Source organism: Homo sapiens, chromosome 4, assembly GCF_000001405.40.
Source record: "Homo sapiens chromosome 4, GRCh38.p14 Primary Assembly".
NCBI classification, from domain to species: Eukaryota; Metazoa; Chordata; class Mammalia; order Primates; family Hominidae; genus Homo; species Homo sapiens.
In genome coordinates, this window is record NC_000004.12 from 88006186 (window position 1) to 88027465 (window position 21280).

General features: G+C 43.3%; 1 protein-coding gene across 4 annotated transcripts in view, besides 2 other annotated features; it reads left to right on the forward strand.

The window, feature by feature from the left end:
• Positions 1213 to 2142: a silencer, noted in NCBI's record as "silent region_15559". NCBI's record gives its function as "represses an Ori minimal core promoter by ATAC-STARR-seq in GM12878 lymphoblastoid cells {active_cell/tissue: GM12878}" and the evidence as "EXISTENCE:reporter gene assay evidence [ECO:0000049][PMID:35858748]".
• PKD2 (polycystin 2, transient receptor potential cation channel) overlaps positions 1450 to 21280 on the forward strand; it is a 70143-nt gene continuing 50312 nt past the window's right edge. For 3 of the 4 annotated variants that reach the window (NR_156488.2, NM_000297.4, NM_001440544.1), the window contains exons 1-2: positions 1450 to 2143; positions 13273 to 13386. Coding sequence is in view for 2 of the 4 variants with exons in the window: in NM_000297.4 (NP_000288.1) it covers positions 1549 to 2143; positions 13273 to 13386 (709 nt within the window). In the remaining 2 variants the exon portion in view is untranslated. Of the gene's footprint in view, positions 2144 to 13272; positions 13387 to 21280 lie in introns of those variants that run through there. The other variant, XM_011532029.2, reaches the window with a different exon arrangement.
• Positions 2193 to 2332: a silencer, noted in NCBI's record as "silent region_15560". NCBI's record gives its function as "represses an Ori minimal core promoter by ATAC-STARR-seq in GM12878 lymphoblastoid cells {active_cell/tissue: GM12878}" and the evidence as "EXISTENCE:reporter gene assay evidence [ECO:0000049][PMID:35858748]".

Here is a 21280-nt window from a genome sequence, read left to right on the forward strand (position 1 = left end):
TTTCTTTCTTTATGAGACAGAGTCTCACTCTGTCACTTGGAGTGCAGTGGCCCGATCTTGGCTCACTACATCCTCTGCCTCCCGGGCTCAAGCGATCCTCCCACCTCAGCGTCCCTAATAGCTGGGACCAAAGGCACACACCGCAAAGCCTGGCTAATTTTTGTATTTTTTGTAGAGACAAGGTGAGCAAATAAATTTCTGTTAAGCCACCCAGTCTCTGGTACTTTGTTATGGCAGCCCTAACAAACAAATACAGGAGCAGATTATGAGAATTTACTAAACCAAACCACAGAAATTAAATTTTATCCTTTCAGCTGCCAGAAGCCCACAGAGGTGTCTAAGCATCAACGTGACAAATAAGCAGCTTTGGTTCTGCAATATAACCTGGAAATAGTGAGGACACCGACGTGGAGAATAGAGATGGGAGTTGACAGGGATCAATTGTTCTAATGCGGAATAATGCAAGACATAAGATCAAGCCAGCAGGAGTGAGAAACAGAGATCATATCAGGGTGATATCTGTGGGGCAAAAGTAACAAGAAGATAAGGTGTAGGCGGTGGAGGGTAAACCGCGAGGCTTCCATGAAGAAGAGTGGCCTGGGAAGTGAGGAGGACAGCGAAGCCCCAAACCTCACCTTGGGATACGGGAAGTGAAGCAGGTTCCAGAGAAGGGGACAAGATAATGACTTAGGGTAGGATAAATTTCAGACAATTGCAGAGCATCACATTAGATGTGTTCAGAAGAGTGGAAATAAAGTTCTGTGCCTAGGCCCTCATGCAGGATTCTGTTGCTAGAAGTCAGTGCTGGCCGCAGGGAGACCGGAGATCACAGTGGAGGCACCAGCGATCCGAGAGTCCTATGACGAATCCCTGGGATCCCCACAATGTGTGGAGACAGAAGCCAACCAAAGAGCGAGAAAGCATCTCCAAACCAGCAGAATCAGGGGCAGGAGGCCCGCCAAATGCACAGCAAGTCAGCCTTGGTAGTTTGCAAATGGAAAGATTTCTTTGACCCGCTGGAGACTTCAGCTCAGGCTGGATGTCGCTAATTCACACCATCTCACCAAAAGGTTCTTTCCCTGCCCTTTGGTGAATCGAGGCAGAAGTGGCTGGTGGATAACTGGGACCCAAGAGTTATCTCAGCGTCGGGCAGGCATCGACAGCTCCAGGAGCCCTTTCCCTGCAGGCGGGCTGGCGGGTGAGCGATTCCCTCCCTTCCCAGGCCTTCCCGGGAATGGAACGTGGGCGCCCGCGCCCGGGCTCCGGTTCCACTTGGAACGCGGACTCGGGAGCCGCCGGGCGAGCGCGCAGACCGCGGGGGCGGCTCCCTCGCACCTCCCCGCTCAGCGCGCCGCGGCGGATGGGCGAGGCGGGGCGAGGCCAGAGGGAGGCGGGCCAAAGGGGCGGGCGAGAGGACGCGGGACCGCGGGGAGGTCGGGGGCGGGGAGCAGGCGGCGGCGGGCGCCGGGAAGAAAGGAACATGGCTCCTGAGGCGCACAGCGCCGAGCGCGGCGCCGCGCACCCGCGCGCCGGACGCCAGTGACCGCGATGGTGAACTCCAGTCGCGTGCAGCCTCAGCAGCCCGGGGACGCCAAGCGGCCGCCCGCGCCCCGCGCGCCGGACCCGGGCCGGCTGATGGCTGGCTGCGCGGCCGTGGGCGCCAGCCTCGCCGCCCCGGGCGGCCTCTGCGAGCAGCGGGGCCTGGAGATCGAGATGCAGCGCATCCGGCAGGCGGCCGCGCGGGACCCCCCGGCCGGAGCCGCGGCCTCCCCTTCTCCTCCGCTCTCGTCGTGCTCCCGGCAGGCGTGGAGCCGCGATAACCCCGGCTTCGAGGCCGAGGAGGAGGAGGAGGAGGTGGAAGGGGAAGAAGGCGGAATGGTGGTGGAGATGGACGTAGAGTGGCGCCCGGGCAGCCGGAGGTCGGCCGCCTCCTCGGCCGTGAGCTCCGTGGGCGCGCGGAGCCGGGGGCTTGGGGGCTACCACGGCGCGGGCCACCCGAGCGGGAGGCGGCGCCGGCGAGAGGACCAGGGCCCGCCGTGCCCCAGCCCAGTCGGCGGCGGGGACCCGCTGCATCGCCACCTCCCCCTGGAAGGGCAGCCGCCCCGAGTGGCCTGGGCGGAGAGGCTGGTTCGCGGGCTGCGAGGTAAGAGCGCGCGACCCGCAGCGGCAGATGCACGAACCAGAACGGCCGGCGCCGGCCGGGGCCATCGCCCGCTGCGGCAGCTCCCCGGGCTCCATCTCGCATCCCCTCTGCGTTCCGCCTCCCTTGGAAGCGCATTCCCCACCTCCGCTAGTGCTGCCCTATTTCCGGTACCCAGCGCGGAATTCCACTGCTCTTTTGTTGGTGCATATTTATTGGATACCTCCTTCTTCAGGATATGTCACCATAGTCTTTTTTACTGAAAATTAGTGAAAGCCTAATTAGAGTGAAAGAGTACATCTGGGTTTTGTTTTTTTTTTTCTTGTAGAGGAAAAAATGAACATTACTTGTGTAACTGATGGTAGTTGCAACTGCATATTTGCCAATGTCACAAAATCTAAAGGAAAATGTTATAGTCACCCGTGGTTTCCTTCTTGCCTGGACACTCCATTGTCCCGGGCTGAAAAGGGTAGCAGTACAGTGCATATAATGTCAAGTTGTGGGAGGAGTGTGGCAGATTGTCATTGGTGCATTTTTTTGGTGATGTGTGTGGTTGTTTTGAGGAGTGGGAGCTGTTAAGAACACCACAAATAGAATAAAATAATATCGTGAAGTTATTTGGCCGTTTCTAATTCTAGACATTTTTCTAAAAACAGTTGCAAAGGAAAGATTACATTGTTTTAAAAAAATTTGAAGTATGTTTTTAAATAACTAAATTAATGTTCTTTGAAATTCCACCAAAATGATGAAGTCACCAGATAGCAGCTGATAAATGTGTCTGAGCCCAGTGCGCCCAGCTCTACAAAAGGCAGAAGAGGAATTTTCAAATTTGCCAGTGCCCAGTAAGAGGACATGAATTTTCTAGTACCAGAGGAAATTCTCTTTTTACAAATTTTGTCAGAGGTATCCTTGGGAAAGTATTTCATTTGCTTTTACCCTCCAAATTATTTTAATCTATATTTTTAAGAGTTTCCATTCTCAGTTGAGTTTTTCTTGTTCTTCTCCTTCTGTCAGTTTTGAAAGTCTTGCACAAAAACAATCCAGGTGTTGTTACAGCAGTGTGATTAAAACCAGGTCAGGCCTACACTGAAATCCCAGTTCCACCACTCATTAGCTGTACGACCTTGAGCAAGTTACTTATCCTCTCTGATACCCAATTTTTGGATTTTTTTTTTTTTTAAAGAGATGATCATAACGCTTAGGACTTGACTCTTTGGGAGAATTAAGTGAGTTAAGACATAAAATGTGCAGCATGTATTTGTCATGTTATTAGCGCTTCAGAAATATAAATGTAAACATTTTGGTACTTCGTTTATGGAGATTCTTATACTAGTTAATTTTATTAAAAGCATGATGGGGAACAGAAGATCCTTTTCGGATAACCTGTGTGAGTAAATTAATAAAACACTAACACTTTTTAAGATTCAAAACTGGATTAATTATGTTATTTTACACCATTTAAAATGTGCATTTAAAAAATATTCACTGAAGTGAGAGAGAAGTTCCTTTTAAGTTAATAAATAATGGTAAGTTGCATGATCCTTTTAACTCAGTTTAAGCATTTGATAACACCCCTAACCTTGTTTGAATAAACTCAATAACAGAATATAGAGAAATAAAATATATATTTCATATGAGTATGTATGTAAATTTATTTCTTTTAAAGGAAAATTTCAGGAAACAAAATGAATAAGCTCATAGTCATAAAACCTCTAGCCAAAGTGTGTCAATGGTCTGATTTGTAGGAGAGCAGACTCAGGAATCGGGAATTTTTTTTTTTTTTTTAAGAGTCGGGGTTTCACTCTGTCACTGAGGCTGGAGTGCGGGGAAGCAAACGTAGCTCACTGCGGCCTCAAACTCCTGGGCTCAAGCTGCCCTCCCACCTCAGCTTCCCAAGTAGTTGGGATTACAGGTGCAAGCTGCTGCTCCTAGCTGAAAAGTTTTAATTATATAAAATGTTTAAATAAATTGTTATTCCTTTCTTTTATGAAGAAATATAATTGATATTCTTGTCACTTATTAAATAAGCAACATTTTAAAATGTTTAGCACCTACTGTGAAGATAGCACTGTGCTAGCTGCTATGAATAAACTAGAATAGCATATCACTGTTTTCCTATGGACAAAAACCCAGAAATGTAAAATAAATAGCCATGAATGGGTTGAGATTCCCCCTGCCCCCTTTGGATACTGATGACAGAAATCTTATATGCACTATGTAAGCAGTGCCCTAGGATCAGAACAGAAAGTAACTTGCAATTTTTAAAGGTGGGAGAAATGACTGAAGTTTGGAGTGGTCAGGAGTTTCCCTGGAAGTCTCTTGCCTTTGTGACTTTGTATAGCTCCCTCAAACTACCTGAGCCTGAGCTCCTCATTTATAAAATGGAAGAATTGAACCTAGCTTCCAAGGTCCTTTCTAGCTTCACCATGCTCTGGTCTGTTGTTTAATGACATGAATCCAAGATGGACAACAAATGGTCGATTTTGCTCCTTCTACAGTAAATAGATCTATCTTCTTAGCAGAAGTAAAATAGTAAAGAAAGAAGACATGTTTGAGGCCTGTTGAGGCCTGTTTGCTGTATGCATTGTATCTAATCAAGGAATTGAGAATGTAGCCCTAAATATTAGGAAGGAGTTGAAAGTTTCTGAGCAGGAACAGAACATGCTGAAAGGAAATTGTGTCAGCAGCATGGTGTACAGGAGAGCTTGGCAGAGAGAAAGGAGGCAAGAAGACCTGTGGGAGGCAGCCAGTAAGGAGGTGAAGAGGGCCTGGACCAAAGGAAGCCAAGGATGACCGAAAGATTTAAAGATGAAGCCCAGATTTAAAAGTATCCTCAAGTATTTGTTTATTCTTTTCTTAGCAAATTCTTTTTAGTACAAAGATAAAATATGGCACTCTGAGTCATAAAATTTTCTGAATTTCAGAAGTTGAATGTTTTTCTGAATGTATCAACCTGTTAAAGTCAGTTCCTGTTTGTTATTTTAGGCGTATATTCTTGGGCTTTTTTTTTTTTTTCCTAGAGAAACTATGAAGTACTAGCTGTGCAAGTCAGGGTGGGCTAAGCTGCTAAAACAGATACCTCCCTCCCCTTCAATACCCTGAAGAACAAGAAGTTAATTTTTTGCTCGTGTAACATTTTAGAGAGGGTATTCCAGGTTGAATACCTGGAATAATGAATGAAATAATAAGTCGACTCTTATTTCTCCTAAAATAATTGGATCTTGACATTGAAATTGGTGTGCTGATTGTATTTAATAAGTGACCTCCAATGCAGTTATTTCATTTTGCCATACTTTATGTAATTTTTATTTTTTCTGCCTTCCCTTTCGATGTCTAAAGGGAAGCATAATTAGTTATTGGAAAGGTTATTGAGACTTAAAAAAAGATTTGAACATGGCTTTGGTTGATGCTACCACACAGAAACTGCAAACATCCAACTCACCGCTCTTAGTTGCTGTTCATGATAGTCTATGCACAGTGACTGATGAATTTAGCCTGTCTTGAGGCTTCAGAACTTAGTCTTATGTCATCACGAGCAGAGCTTTATCCTAAATTACAGGTTTTCAATGGGGGGGGGGGGGAGGGGCAGTTTTGCCCCTCAGGGGACATTTGGCAATCTCTGGAGACATTTTTGATTGTCATACCTGGGGGGATGCCCCTGGCATCTCCTGGGTTGAGGTTAAGGATGCTGCTAATCTACAATGCACAGTACAGCCACCCCACACACACACACTACAAAGCATTCTCCCACCCAAATTGCCAGGAGTGAGGACTTTGAGAAACCCTGCCCTAGACTGTTAAATTCAAAAGGAAATAATGGTTTATTGCTCACAGTGTGCCAGGCACTGTGTTAAACTCCTTATATTCATAGTTTTGTTTTTATCCTCACAACAACCTGTGAAGAAAGAACTCTCATCCGTCACCACTTTACTGTTGAGGGCACTAAGCCTTCTAAAGGTTAAATGACTTGCCCAGGGCCGCAACTATTAGATGTTGCAGTCAGGATTTAATTCCAGGCACTTTGTGTTCAAAGTGTTTCTCATCCACTGTGCTATATGCCAGTAGTGCCCAAACCTAACTTTAGCCAGCAATTGTCTGCATCTCTTCAGTTTATGAACATTTATTTATTAGGACATGCAGGATAATCATACCAACACAGTCCGTGTATCCAGAATTCTAATTGATCTAGGGAGTGGGAGAGCCTGCCTCTCTATTTTTTTTAAATTGGTGTGAAATATACATAACATAAAATTGGCCATTTTAACCATTTTAAGTATATAATTGAGTGACATTAGGTAGATTTATTATATTATGTAAATGGACTTAACACAATTTATTTCCAGAACTTTTTTATCATCCCAAACAGAAACTCTGTACTCATTAAACAGTAACTCCCTGTTTCCCCACTCCCCCTTGCCCCAGACGCTAGTAACCTCCATTCTACTTCCCCTTTCTGTGAGTCTCCCTGTTGTAGCTACCTGATGTAAGTGAAATCAGACCATGTTTGATCTTTTGTGTCTGGCTTATTCACTTAGCATAGTATTTTCAAGGTTTATCCATGCGTGCAAATTCCCTTCTTTTTTATGACGAAATACTATTTAATTGTGTGTGTACATGTGCACACACAATGAAATACTATTTCATCATAAAAAGGAAGTTTGTACACATATATACACACACACCAAATTTTGTTTATCCATTCATCAGTTCATGGGCATTTGCGGTTTTTTTCCACCTTTCGACTGTTGTGACTTTCCGTTTATTTTTAATCTGAACTTTACTCCATCACTTCCTCCCTTTCCTTTTTTATTCGCACCATAATTTTGAACAAGCAGACTTTGTATTTTCATTACTCTGGGGATTTTTTTGAGGGAGGCTTGCTACCCTTTGGGGTTGTGGTAAGGTTGTGCCAGTAACAGAATTCATGCAGTAAAAAACATTCATGGGACTTTCTTTTGTGATAGGTACTAGGGATGCAGAGATGAATAATACAAGGTCTCGACCTTCAAGGAGCTCAGGGTTTAGTAGGGAAAACAGAGGTATAAGTAAGTCATTGCAATGCCAGGTCCCAGATATGGGAGGATTCCAGCAAAGAGAGGATAAGGCCAGGCACAGCCGCTCATGCCTATAGTCCCAACACTTTGGGAAGCTGAGATGGGAGGATCACTTAAGCCCAGCAGTTCAAGGCTACCCTGGGCAACATAGTGAGTGGCAAAAAATACAAAAATTAGCCAGGCAGGGTGGCACATGCCTGTGGTCCCAGTTATTTGGGAGTTTGAGGTGGGAGAATCACCTGAGCCTGGGAGATTGAGGCTGCAGTGAGCTGTGATCACGCCACTGCACTCCAGCCTGGGTGACACAGTGAGAGGTGAGAGCCTGTATCTAAAAAAAAAAAAAAGAGAGGATCAGATTTACCTGGAGAGGTCAGAGAAGGTTTCCAGAGGGAGTAAAACTTGAGCTTCATTTTGAAGAATGAGAGGGGAATACAAGGAGGGAAAAATAATAGGAACAAGACCTGTTCCTGTTACAGCAAACCTGTAACTCCCACCATGGAATGGGCACGTTTTCCTGTAGACATTTGGAGCCAGTGTGGGCTTCAAGCCTAGGGGGCTGATATGATCATTTGTCAATCTGAAGATGACTCTTGGAACAACGTAGAGGATAGGGTGAGGTGGGTAGGCTGGTGGCTGACAGACTAGGTCAGGAGAGGGCTGACCAAGAGGAGGAGGGGTGACGAGGGCTGGAACTAAGGCATATGAGCTGGGATGGAAAGAAGCTAGATAGAAAGGAAACAAAAACCATCAGAACTGTGGAACCAACTCCATGGGAGGGATAAGAAGAGGGCCTATTCTAGGGTGAAACCCAAATTTCTGGCATGGTACCATTAACCCAAACAGAAAGAGGAGATTTCCAGAGAAAGAAAAGCAAATTTTGCGGGAGGTGAGTGTGAGCTGTCTAGAGAATATGCAGGTAGAACTACATGTTAACTGTAACATATACTTGTCTGCACCTCAGGAGATGGCTGATTAAGAATTCAGGATTCAGGCCAGGCACGGTGGCACACGCCTTTAATCCCAGCTGCTTAAGAGACTGGGGCGGGAGGATTGCTTGAGCCTGGGAATCCGAGATCAGCCTGGGCAACATAGCAAGACACTGTCTCTAAAAAAAAAAAAAAATTCAAGATTCTGGAGTCAATATTACTTAAGGTAGCAACTGTCTATTCTATAGAAAATGGACAAATATAGATAAAAAGCCACTTCCCTTTCTAAAAGTGTCCCTGCAATTCAAGTGAATACTAGGAAGGATTGTGTTCATTCTTCTAAACAAGACTCACATGTATCTTAGCACAAAAAGAGGATTCTTTTATGATACAAATGCACTGAGAATTTGGTCAGGCTATCACAATGAACTGATAGTTCAGATGGATTTGAGTCTTTATACCACTCTGGAATCTGGACCAACTGGGCCTCCTAAGGCCATTTTGCAGATCTGGGCTTGTTTCTGAAGCTACAGACAGGCCTCTTCCAAGCACTCTAAGTGCTCCACAAATAATATTTCTGTTTCCCAGAACAACCCCACAAAAAGGTACTCTTACTCCATTTTTAGATGAGGAAGTGGAGGCTCATGATGTCAGGTAAGCTTTCTCAGCTCCCAAGTGGTTAAGCCCTCAGTTTAATGTCATTTGACTCCAGAGCCCTATGTTGCACCATGCCTTGATAATAGGCCATATGGGTTTCATGTATTTCAGATGGGGAAGGTTAGTGTGAGGTGAAAGATACACAATTAACCTTTTAACCATGGAACTGAAATATTTACAGATGAAGTGATACAATAGCTGGAATTAATTCCAAAATAATTGGGGTGGTACTGGTCCATGGCCTGTTAGGAACTGGGCCGCAGAGCAGGAGGTGAGCAGCAGGCTAGTGAGCATTGCTACCCCCTATCATATCAGCAGTGGCATCAGATGGGTGAGGATGTAAATGAACTAGGATTGGCATTGAGTTGATATTGTTGGATCTAGGTGATAGATTTATCATTATAATATTCTCTCTTTGTGATATTTCTGATATTTTCTAAAATAAAAAGTTGTAGTTATTTATTTATTTAGACGGAGTTTCACTCTTTTGCCCAGGTTGGAGTGCAGTGGTGTGATCTCGGCTCACTGTAGCCTCCGCCTCCCGGGTTCAAGCGATTCTCCTGCCTCAGCCTCCCGAGTAGCTGGGACTACAGCCTCCCGAGTAGCTCACCACCACACCCAGCTAACTTTTGTATTTTTAGTAGAGAGGAGGTTTCACCATGTTAGATAGGCTGGTCTCAAACTCCTGACCTCAGGTGATCCACCCACCTCGGCCTCCCAGAGTGCTGGGATTACAGGCGTGAGCCAGTGTGCCCAGCCAATAAAAAGTTTTTGAAAGGATTTAGATAAAATAGTTGGGGAAATGGCATTTTTGTTCAAAGCCAATTATTTATGTTTGGAATATCTTTTGTGCTTGGAGTTCTCCATTACAGAGTTCCCCAGTGTTCCTATTAATAAGTAACATTGAGCAGAGGAATGCACTGTTTAGATCAGCAGTCCCCAACCTTTTTGGCACCAGGGACCGGCTTCATGGAAGACAATTTTTCCACAGACCTGGGGTAGGAAGTGTTTGGGGATGAAACTGTTCCACCTCAGATCATCAGGCATTAGTGAGATTCTCATAAGGAGCAGGCAATCTAGATTCTTCACATGCGCAGTTCACAATAGGGTTCTCACTCCTGTGAGAATCTAATGCCACCCCTGATCTGACAGGAGGCGGAGCTCGGGCGGTAATGCTCACTTGCCTGCGGCTCACCTCCTGCTGTGGGGCCCGGTTCCTAACAGGCCATGGACCAGTACCCGTCTGCAGCCTGGGGACTGGGGACCCTGCTTTAGATGATGTACTCTGGCTTTGCATTCTGGCATTAGCTAAGCACCCTCTTAAAGGAAATTGGGTCTATACTCTCAGTCCGTGTTCTCCCTAACACCTGGAAACATTGAATACCTTCAATGCTGGGAAGTTAACTCCCACCACAACTAGAACAGCTATGGGAAAGACAACAGTTGATTTTGAAGAGTGTCACCAATTTGCACATGATTCCATCCTTAACCATTCTTATCCTATCAGCTCTGCCAAACATGGAGAATAGTTGGCTGCAGGACAGCTATTTTTCCTACTTGTAGATGCAACTATTTCTCACCCACCAGGATGTAAAAGGTCCCTGTACCCTAAGATTGGTCCTACATACACACCCAATGGGAAAATGAGATGAAAAATTTAAAGCAGTAAATATTTGAGGAAGTAGATAGAGTAATTTAGAAAAAGAAAATACACAGGGCCAAGCACAGTGGCTCACATCTGTAATCCCAGCACTTTGAGAGGCCAAGGTGAGAGGATTGCTTGAGCTCAGGAGTTTGAGGCCAGCCTAGGCAATGTAGTGAGACCCCACCTCTACAAAAAATTAAAAACTTAGTTGGGCTTGGTAGTATGTACCTGTAGTTTAAGAAACTTGGGAGGCTGAGCTGAGGCAGGAGGATTGTTTGAGCCCGGGTGGTCAAGGCTGCAGTGGGCCATGATTGTGCCAGAGTACTCCAGCCTGGGTGATAGAGTGAGACTCTGTCTCAAACAAAAAAAAAAACAGAGACAGAAAAAAAGAAAGAAAATATATGGATGTATATCATATAAAAATATAAATAAGGGAGGCCAAGTGCAGTGGCATGCCTGTAATCCCAGCACTTTGGGAGGCTGAAGCAGGAGGATCACTTGAGGCCGAGAATTCGAGACCAGCCTGGGCAACGTATTGAGACCTCATCTCTGCAAAAAATCAAAAAATGAGGCGGAAGGATGGCTTGAGCCCAGGAGATCAAGCCTTCAGTGAGCTGTGATCGTACCACTACACTCCAGGCTGGGTAACAGAGAGAGACCCTGCCTCAAGATAAATAAATTCATACATACATACATACATACGTACATACATACATACATAAGAAGACTTGTTTCTTTCCATTTGCAATGTTTCATTCAAAGGCTAGAATTAAATTGCCGTAGGCCATCACAAGTTTAGCTTGAATATTATTATTTTTTCAAGATGGAGTCTCACTCTGTCACCCAGGCTGGAGTGCAGTGGTGTGATTTTGGCTCACTGCAACCTCTGTCTCCCGGGTTCAACCGATTCTTCTGCCTCAGCCTCCCATGTAGCTGGGATTACAGGCGCCCGCCACCACACCTGGCTAAGTTTTGTATTTTTAGTAGAGACAGGGTTTCACCATGTTGGCCAGACTGGTCTTGAACTCCTGACCTCAAGTGATCTACCCGCCTCACCCTCCCAAAGTGCTGGGATTATAGGCTTGAGCCACTGCACCCAGCCTAGCTTGAAGAAAATTTGATAGGAGTTTGTTTTTTTCTATTTATAGGCCAAGCAATACCACGTATAAATATTAAGAATCATGGCTGTTCCTTAGTGCCTAGTTGTTTATAAACCATGGGAAAGAATGAAATCATTGACCAAATGAGACAGGGTAACAGTCTTCCCTGGGAGTAAAGAGACTAGCAGTCTCTATTGACATATATTTTAGGCCTGGCCTCCAAAATAAATTTACCCAAAGAAGTGATGTATTTGTGTCCAGGGCTACCGAGCCTAATCTTTGGCTGCCTCTGTGTTATTCTAAGTTGTAATTTTCCATGTCATCTAAATTTGTAATAATTCTTTAATATGATAGTGTTTCAGTGAACAAACATTCTGCTTGCTGCATTTCTTCTGAGTGAGTAATTCCCTGACAACTACCAGATCTTGGCAGAAGCAAAGTTGGTCATAAGTTATGCTCCACTCTCAGTGCTGGTGAAACGTATGATGCGTAACACAGTGTTTTTGAATTCAGTGCTGATTTTCCTAAAGGACATTTGGAAGGAAAAAAGAAAAGGAAAGGAAATACCCAAATTCAGGAATAGAACTTACATATTATTATAAGACTTAAAAAATACATGAACACTAATGATGAACTCATTTCTTCGAAGTAAAAGGCCTTATGCTATTTTTTCCCATTTCCCTATGTGGCTTGATTGTGGCGAAAGTGGCTGTGTGAGTTTCCATTATTGAAGGAGTTAAGGTCTGTGGAATCAAAGCATGAGACAACATGCAAGGACCAGGTTGGTTTCCATTTAACAGCCAACCTAATCTAACTGAAAGGATTGAGAGGTTTGTCTTTTTTGGAAAGTGTTAAGGTTCTTCCAAGTAACCAGCAATGTGACTTTACCACACTGTTCATTAACGGGGCTTTGGATGGCCACCATGTCTGCTGCTGGCTGAGTCCAAAACTGCGGTCACTCTCTCCAGCAAGCTCATGGAGGGTTACGTCATCTTCACTCAGCCAGCCCAACGCTTTTTCCATCTGCTAAAATGTAGAACATGGTTGTTGATTCTACTCTTTCTACAAAGAAAGAGAGGGAACATGGATGAGTTGCTGCTTTTAAAGATTATATGTTAATTGCTGTTTTAAAAATCTGCTCAGCTAAGCACGCTTAGTGTAATCAGTCACCATGGAGTTTTTTAATAGGACAGCTTCTGCTCTTACAGAGCAGAGTTTTTATGCCAGTAGGTTAGAAGCATAACATGTTTCTATATTGAAGTGATTCTCCAACAAGGACTTCTTTTCATCAGGGGTGACCTAAAAGTTATTACTTGAAATATAATTACATCATGTTCTTAACTGGGTTTAGTAGTAGGATAATTACAAGGTTGTATCCACCTCAAATAGGAAGAACTGATAAGTTTTGCACAATTATTTAACTCCTCTGTTAGGCCTTCCTTATTTCCTGTTCTCTTTTTAAAATTTGACTAAGATATTGCTAATGGGCTTGGGAGCCTATAAAATGATCAGAATTGTTGCCTTATGTTTTGCATGTTTGGGGTAACATTGGAGCCAGATGTACTCTTAAATAAAAGGTAGGCCTACAAAACCAGTTTCTCAGTTGCATTCAAAATGTGATTAAAAAAAAAAAAAGGAGAATCTCCCTTATAGGTGAACTTTTTAATTTGTGCTTTATTTTCCCTTTTGCCATTCATGAGATTTCTTAAATAAAATGATATCTTTTCTTTTCTTCATTATTATTTTAAAGGTCTCTGGGGAACAAGACTCATGGAGGAAAGCAGCACTAACCGAGAGAAATACCTTAAAAGTGTTTTACGGGAACTGGTCACATACCTCCTTTTTCTCATAGTCTTGTGCATCTGTAAGTAGAATATTTCCTTGCACTAATGGGAAAGTTTTGAAAAGATTTGACCTATCCAAATCATAATTAAAAGGAAGTGTGTATGCACCAGAGGGGCAACTGGGAAGTTACCTTCTTACCTTTGTTTTTAATTCTAATATTTTTATTTGGGCATTTGTTTATTGACTATCTTCCTATGGTAGAATGCAAGCTTTATAAGAGAAGGGACGTGATTTGTTCTCTGCTGTACCCCCATTTCCCAAAACTGCAGATGGCAACAGAAGGCTCTGAAAAATATATAAGAAAGAATTTTTCTAATTGTGACTAAATTGTGACCAAATGCTAAGTGACTGTGGACTTGCGTTTAACACAGGACGGGAGAGGCAAAGAGTTCAATTCCAATTTAGAATTTGGTCAAGTTCTCTTCTGCACTCTGGTAAACATTAATTAAAAATCAGCATTATCTGACCAGCCAGTTCATCGTCAGTGGTGGTGATTTTCACTATGAGATACGCGTGGCAACTTGCCAGACACCAAGAAACCAAGTTAGAGGATTTTTGTATTAGATTCCTTAACAATGAATACAGTATCACCATTATTACAGTATCATCATTATTGTCATACTATTATTATATCAGTTAACATAAAGTCTGCATAAGAATTGTTTCCAGAAAAATGACTTTCCAAATTTAACTTTCAGGAAATACAAATAATGCTACTAATATTGCTTTTATTGGCGTATACATGTAATATCCCCTTCTTTTGGATTTGGATATGTTGTGTCATTGCCTCATTTTAATTCATTATTTCTTCTCAATCTTTAATAATTGCTGGACTTTTACTCCACAAGAAACTTGCTATAGGCCCATCTCTTTCGTCTTCTTTCCTTCTTTCAGTTCGTCTTCCCATCCTCTGGTAGGGGGAGGGGAGGGATGCCTGAGCGAGAGACTAGCTGTAGGAACCATTTGTCTCAAAGTCCAGAAAGCCACAGGTGATGGATTTGTCCTCTGAATCAAAGGGCGTTCGATGATGGATTTCTGTCATGTCTCATCTAAAGTCTTCACGAGAACAGATGAGGAAGCAGTTTTATGACCCCAGAGCCTCCTACCAAACTCCTCTGAGAAAAGGTTTCCTTTTTTTTTTTTTTTTTTAAATTAGAGACAGAGTCTTGATCTGTTTCACAGGCCGGAGTGCAGTGGCACAATCATAGCTCACTGCAGCCTCGAGCTCCTAGGCTTCAGTGATCCTCCCACCTCAGTCACCCACGTAGCTGGGACTACAGCTGCACACCACCATGCCCAGCTAACTTTTAAAACATTTTTGTAGAGGTGGGGTCTCACTTTGCTGCCTATACTGGTCTCCAGCTCCTAGCTTCAAGTGATCCTCCTGCCTTGGAAGTTCTGGGATTATAGGCATGAGCCACTGCACCCAGCCTGGATGTGATATTTTTATGTTTTAAATTGTTAGAGTTTAGAAACTTGAGATTGAGTTTGCTGCCTGCATTAAAATGATGCTTAAACATTAAACTGCAGTGGCCTTAAATATTAACAAGTTGATTAGAATTACTAAGTTCTTTTCAAGCTTTACATATACAGACAAATTTCTTATGCAAAATAGAAGGTAACCCCTGTACGTAAGTCTAGAATTTCAGCAGTCCCCAAAACTGACTGAGCATTAGAATCACTCTGATTTTAAAATACATATGTGGTTTTCCGAGATCTACTAACAGAGCCTCCATAATGTAGCCTAGAGAAACGAGTTTTCAGATGTAGTGATAAATTTGGAAGGTAAGTCAGAGAAGTAAGCTGAAGACAGAGTTTTAGGAAATATGCCTAAAGTCACATAATGAATTGGTTTTCTTGTTTATTTGAGAATATTGTCGCTTTTTGTTCTTTTTCATGCAAATCACATTTTATTTCTTATGTGAGTAGCTATATATTTAAAAATTTTGTTTTTGGAATATTGTAGAATCTCTACTTAAGAAAGTATCTTAGCAGTCATATGGTCTGACCTCACTGAATGCTAAATTCTCTTTAAAACATCCGTCTCAGATGGTTACTCATACTGCCTCTGATTGAACAAGAGTCCCAGGTTAAGGGACTTACTTCTTTGAAATCGTTCATTTCATTTTTCTACAGCTATGTTAGAAAGTTCGTCCTTAGCAGTGAAGCCAGAGTCTATCTCTTATAACTTCTACCCAGTTGCACCCTCCAAGCCTACCTATACCAAGTATCTTTTTTCCACGTTGCTTTTCCAATTCAGCTCTTCGCAAGTTTGGAGACAAATACCTAATCTCCTCTAAGCCTTCTCCAGGTTAAGCCTTTCCAGTTCATCCAGCTGTTGATTATGTGATTGGAGACACAAGTTTGAGTAACTCCCATGATGGAAAGTCCCTCTGGTGAATGTTCTGTTCATCAGAGTCCCTAAGAAAGCACATGAGCCTCACCATGGTGAGTGGGGCCATGAGATTCCTAAACCAGACACTACACTGTGGCTTGTGCAACCTACCATGGCCAGACTCATGAGGCTGTTTCATCATATAAATAATTCCTTAGTCTCTTCACCAAAAACTGTGAAGCACTGTGTCCCCCAGCTGTATGTGAGCTAGCCTGGGACCATAGTGGAGGACTCCTCTTTCAACCCTGTTAAATTTCATCTTGTTAGGATCTGCCCATTTTTCCATTCTGTTGAAATTATCTTGGAACTGGATTCATTCATCTCACATCAGCTACTCCCCGAAGCCTCACAGTATCAGCAGAGTTATTATCTCTATCCATATCCTTGTAAATTATTAAACTAAAAAAGATTGGTCTAAGAACATCAGTCCATTAATCAAGGCTCTTTGGTTGGAGTTCACTTCATTATATTATCATCCAGCTCAGAGTGTTCATAAACAAGATGATAGGAAAGACTTTTCCAAATGCCTGTCTGAGTAATTCCCCCATTCCTGTGATCTGTGAGCTGTTGACCAGATTAAAAAGGAAGTGAGAATAACCAGGCAAGATTTACTCCTAGCAAAACCTTACTGGCTTCTAGTGACTGAGTCCTTTCCCTATTGCTTACCAGCTATCTTTTTAATTACTAGTTTTAAAATCTTGCCAGCAATGTCAATATCAAATGACCAAGAATATCAAACTCATTACTCTGTATGTAAATGAGATAGTGTACTTACCCCTATGGCTTAAGTATTAGGCTGTTCTTGCATTGCCCTAAATACCTGAGACTGGGTAATTTATAAAAAAAGAGGTTTGGCCAGGCACTGTGGATCAGGCCTGTAATCTCAGCACTTTGTCAGGCTGAAGCAGGTGTAATGGTGAGCCAAGAGTTCAAACTTAGCCTGGACAACAAGGTGAAACCCCCTCTCTGCAAAAAATACAAAAATTATCTGGGCATGGTGGCATGCACCTGTAGTCCCAGCCACCCAGGAGGCTGAGGTGGGAAAATTGTTTGAAGCTGGGAGTCAGTGATTGCAGTGAGCCATGATTGCAACACTGCACTCCATCCAGCCTGGGCGACAGAGCAAGACCCTGTCTCAAAAAATAAATAAATGAATAAATAAATAAAATAAATAAATAAATAGAAAAGAAAAAGAAAGAAAAGAGATTTATTTGCCTCATGGTTCTGCAGGCTGTAAGGGAAGCATAGCTCCAGCATCTGCTTCTGGGGAGGCCTCAGGAAGCTGTTACTCATGGCAGAAGGTGAAGCAGGAGCTTGCACATCATGTGGCAAAAGCAGGAGCAAGAGAGAGAGAATGGGGCAGGGAAGAAGCCCCACACTTTTAAATGACCAGATCGCATGAGAAATCACTCGTTACCTCAAGGACAGTACCAAGAGGATGGTACTAAATTCCTGAGAAATCCACCCCCATGATCTGATCACCTCGTACCAGGCCCCGCCTTCAGCATTGGGGATTATGTTTCAACATGAGATTTGGATGGGGACAACATCCAAACTATATCACCTTGCATAGTAGGTAGGGTTTTAAAAAGCAGTTTGGCACAGTAAGAAAAGTACAGATTTTTTTTGCATCAGACAGACCTGAGTTAAAATCCCAGCTTCACTGCTAACATGCTAGGTAAATGTGGGCAAGTTAATTAACATTTCTAAGCCTTTGTTTCCTCACTGGTAAAACAAGTATTTGGAAATATCATTGTGAAGATTAGAAATAATACATGAAAAGATCCTAGGATGCTGTCTGTCATACAGTAGTAGTAGTAAGAAGTTATTCTTGCCAAAGATTGTTGAGAATGGCAGAATTATCTCAGTTCTAAGAGCTATAGTTTCTAATTATTTGAGCCTAGACTCAGATTCATTTGGAGCAGCTAACTGCTCACCAAGAGCTTATTTTCCATCTTACCAATGAGGTTATGTGCCCTGTGTTTTTAAAATCAGTCTACTTAACCAAGAGAACAGAAATGACATGAGAATTAAGTAATCTCACTTTCTCTGTTATTTAGGATTTATTCCTACTCAAAACCTGAGAGTTGCTATGAATTCACCATTAAAGCACTTATTAATATACATGGGTTACTGTTATAAATAGCAATAGTATTGCTATTGTGTGAGTTAGGTGTTGAAGTTCAAGAAAGGAATAAAGAATATTTAGAAGATCTTTGAAAACAGTGTCTGGGTACGGTGGCTCATGCCTGTAATCTCAGCACTTTGGGAGGCCGAGGCAGGCAGATCACTTGAGGTCACGAGTTCAAGACCAGCCTGGGCAACTTGGCGAGACCTCGTCTCTACAAGATATACAAAAATTAGCCGGGTATGTTGGCATGCACCTGTAATCCCAGCTACTTAGGAGGCTGAAGCACAAGAATCACTTGAACCTGGGAAGCAGAGGTTGCAGTGAGCCAAGATTGTACCACTGCACTCCAGCCTGGGCAATAGAGCAACACTCTGTCTCGAAAAAAAAAAAAAAAAAAAAAAAAAGAAAGAAAGAAGGAAGGAAGGAAAGAAAAAAAAAGGAAAAAATGCAAGGAAGGTATTTGGTGAATCTATAATAATAAAAATGTATTTGTCATTTCCTTTTTCTGTGCTCTCATTCTATAAAATTGAGTAAAAAATCTATATATAGTTTAAACACATTAATAGAAATCACAAAAGTTAGCTGAGTCAACATTGTAGAAACATAATATTTCTGTATGTCAAAGAAATAGACAACATTAAAAAGCAGAAAGCAATTACAAAGAATGATTATAAGAAACATCACAAAGGGTTAATATTTTAACACATTTGAAACTCAAAAATCACTGAGAAAAGCAGTAGACTTCCATAAATATTTTATAGAGTAGAAAAAATAGGCCAAGCACAGTGGCTCATGCCTGTAATTCCAGCACTTTGGGAGGCCGAGGAGGGTGGATCACGAGGTCAGGAGTTCAAGACCAGCCCGGCCAAGATGGTGAAACCCCATCTCTACTAAAAATACAAAAACTAGCCAGGCGTGGTGGCAGGTGCCTGTAATCCCAGCTACTTGGGAGGCTGAGGCAGGGAATTGCTTAAACCCTTAAACCCGGGAGGTGGAGGTTGCAGTGAGCCAAGTTCGCACCACTGCATTCCAGCCTGGGCGACAGAACGAGACTCTGTCTCAGAAAAAGAAAAGAAAAGAATAGAAAAAGAATCCATGGGCAGGCACAGTGGCTCATGCTTATAATCCCAGTACTCTAGGAAGCCAAGGTGAGAGGATCAATTGAGGCCAGGAGTTCAAGGCCAGCCTGGGCAACATAGCAAGACTTTGTCTCTATTAAAAATTTTAAAATTAGCCAGGCATGGTGACGCACACCTGTAGTCCCAATTACTTGGGAGCCTGAGGCAGGAGAACTGCTTGAGGCTGCAGTGAGCTATGATTAGACCACTGCACTCCAGCCTGAGCTACACAGTGAGACCTTGTGTCAAAAAAGTAAAAAAATAAAAATTAGCCAGGCATGGTGGCACATGCCTGTAGTCCCAGCTACTCAGGAGGCTGAGGCAAGAGGATGACTTGAGTCTGGAAGATGGAGACTGCAGTGAGCTGTGGTCATGCCACTGCACTCCAGCCTGGGTGACAGAGCAAGACCCTGTCTCAAAAAAAAAAAAAAGAAAAGAAAAGAAAAATAAATAAAATTTATTCAAATACAAAAGTGATGTGGTTTGACTCTGTGTTGCCACCCAGATCTCATCTCCAATTGTAATCCCCGTGTATTGACGGAGGTTCCTGGTAGGAGATGATTGGATCATGGGGATGGTTTCCCCTCTGCTGTTCTCATGATAGTGAGTGAGTTCTCATGAAATCTGGTTGTTTGGTAGGTGTCTGTCACTTACCCCTTCTTTTTCTCTCTCCTGCTGCCTTGTGAAGAAGGTACTTCCTTCTCCTTTGCCTTCCACCATGATTATAAGTTTCCTGAGGCCTTCCCAGCCATTTGGAACTGTAAGTCAATTAAACCTCTTTCCTTTATAAATTACCGAGTCTCAGGCAGTTTTTTATAGAAGTGTGAAAATGGTCTAATACAGAGACTTGGTACCAGGAGTGGGGTACTGCTATAAAAAATAACCTGAAGATATGGAAGCGACTCTGGAACTGGGTAACAGGCAGCAATTGGAACAGTTTGGAGGGCTCAGAAGAAGACAGGAAGATGTGGGAAAGTTTGGAATTTCCTAGAGACTTGTTGAATGGCTTTGACCAATACACTGATAGTGATATGGACAATGAAGTCCAGGCTGAGATGGTCTCAGGTGGAGATGAGGAACTTATTGGGAACTGGAGTAAACGTCACTCTTACATGTTTTAGCGAAGAGACTGGCAGCATTTTTCCCCTGCCCTAGAGATCTGTGGAACTTTGAACTTGAGAGACATGATTTAGAGTATCTGGCAGAAGATATTTCTAAGCACCAAAGCATTCGAGAGGTGACCTGGCTTTTCCTGAAAGCATACAGTTATATGTGCTCACAAAGAGATGGTTTGAAATTGGAACTTATGTTTAAAGGGGAAGCAGAGTGCAACAAAAGTTTAGGGAGTTTGCAGCCTGACCATGTGGTAGAAAAGAAAAACCCATTTTCTGGGGAGAAATTCAAGCTGGCTGGAGAAATTTGCATAAGTAACGAGGAGCTGAATGTGAGTTGCCAAGACAATGGGGTAAATGTCTCCAGGGCGTTTCAGAAAATCTTCAGGGCAGACCCTCACAACACAAGCCTGGAGGCCTAGAAGGGAAAAATGGTGTGAGCCAGGCCCAGGCCCAGGCCCCAGCTGTTCTGTGCAGCCTTGGGACATGGCACCCTGTGTTCCAGCCACTCCAGCTCCAGCTGTGGTTAAAAGGAGCCAAGGTACAGCTGGACCATTGCTTCAGAGGGTACAAATCCCAAGCATTAGCAGCTTCCATGTGGTGTTGGGTCTTTGGGTGCACAGAAGACAAAAGTTGAGCTTTGGAAGCCGCTGCCTAGATTTCAGAGGATGTATGGAAACACCTCGATGTCCAGGCAGAAGTCTGCTGCAGGGGCAGAGCCTTATGGAGAACCTCTGCTAGGGCAATGCAGGGGGGAAATGTGGGGTTGGAGCTCCCACACAGAGTCCCCACTGGGGCACTGCCTCATGGAGCTGTGAGAAAAGGACCACCATCCTCCAGACTCCAGAATGGTAGATCCACCAACAGATTGCACTCTGCGCTTAGAAAAGCTGCAGGCACTCAATGCCAGCCTGTGAAAGCAGCTGCAGGGGCTGTACCCTGCAGAGCCACAGAGGTGGAGCTGTCCAAGGCCATGGGAGCCCACCCCTTGCATTAGCATGGAGACAGGGGATCAAAGGAGATTTTGGAGATCTAAGATTTAATGAATGCCCTGTCGAGTTTCAGACTTGAATGGGGCCTGTGACCCCTTTGTTTTGGCCAATTTCTCCTATTTGGAATGGGAACATATACCCAATGCCTGTACCCCCATTGTATCT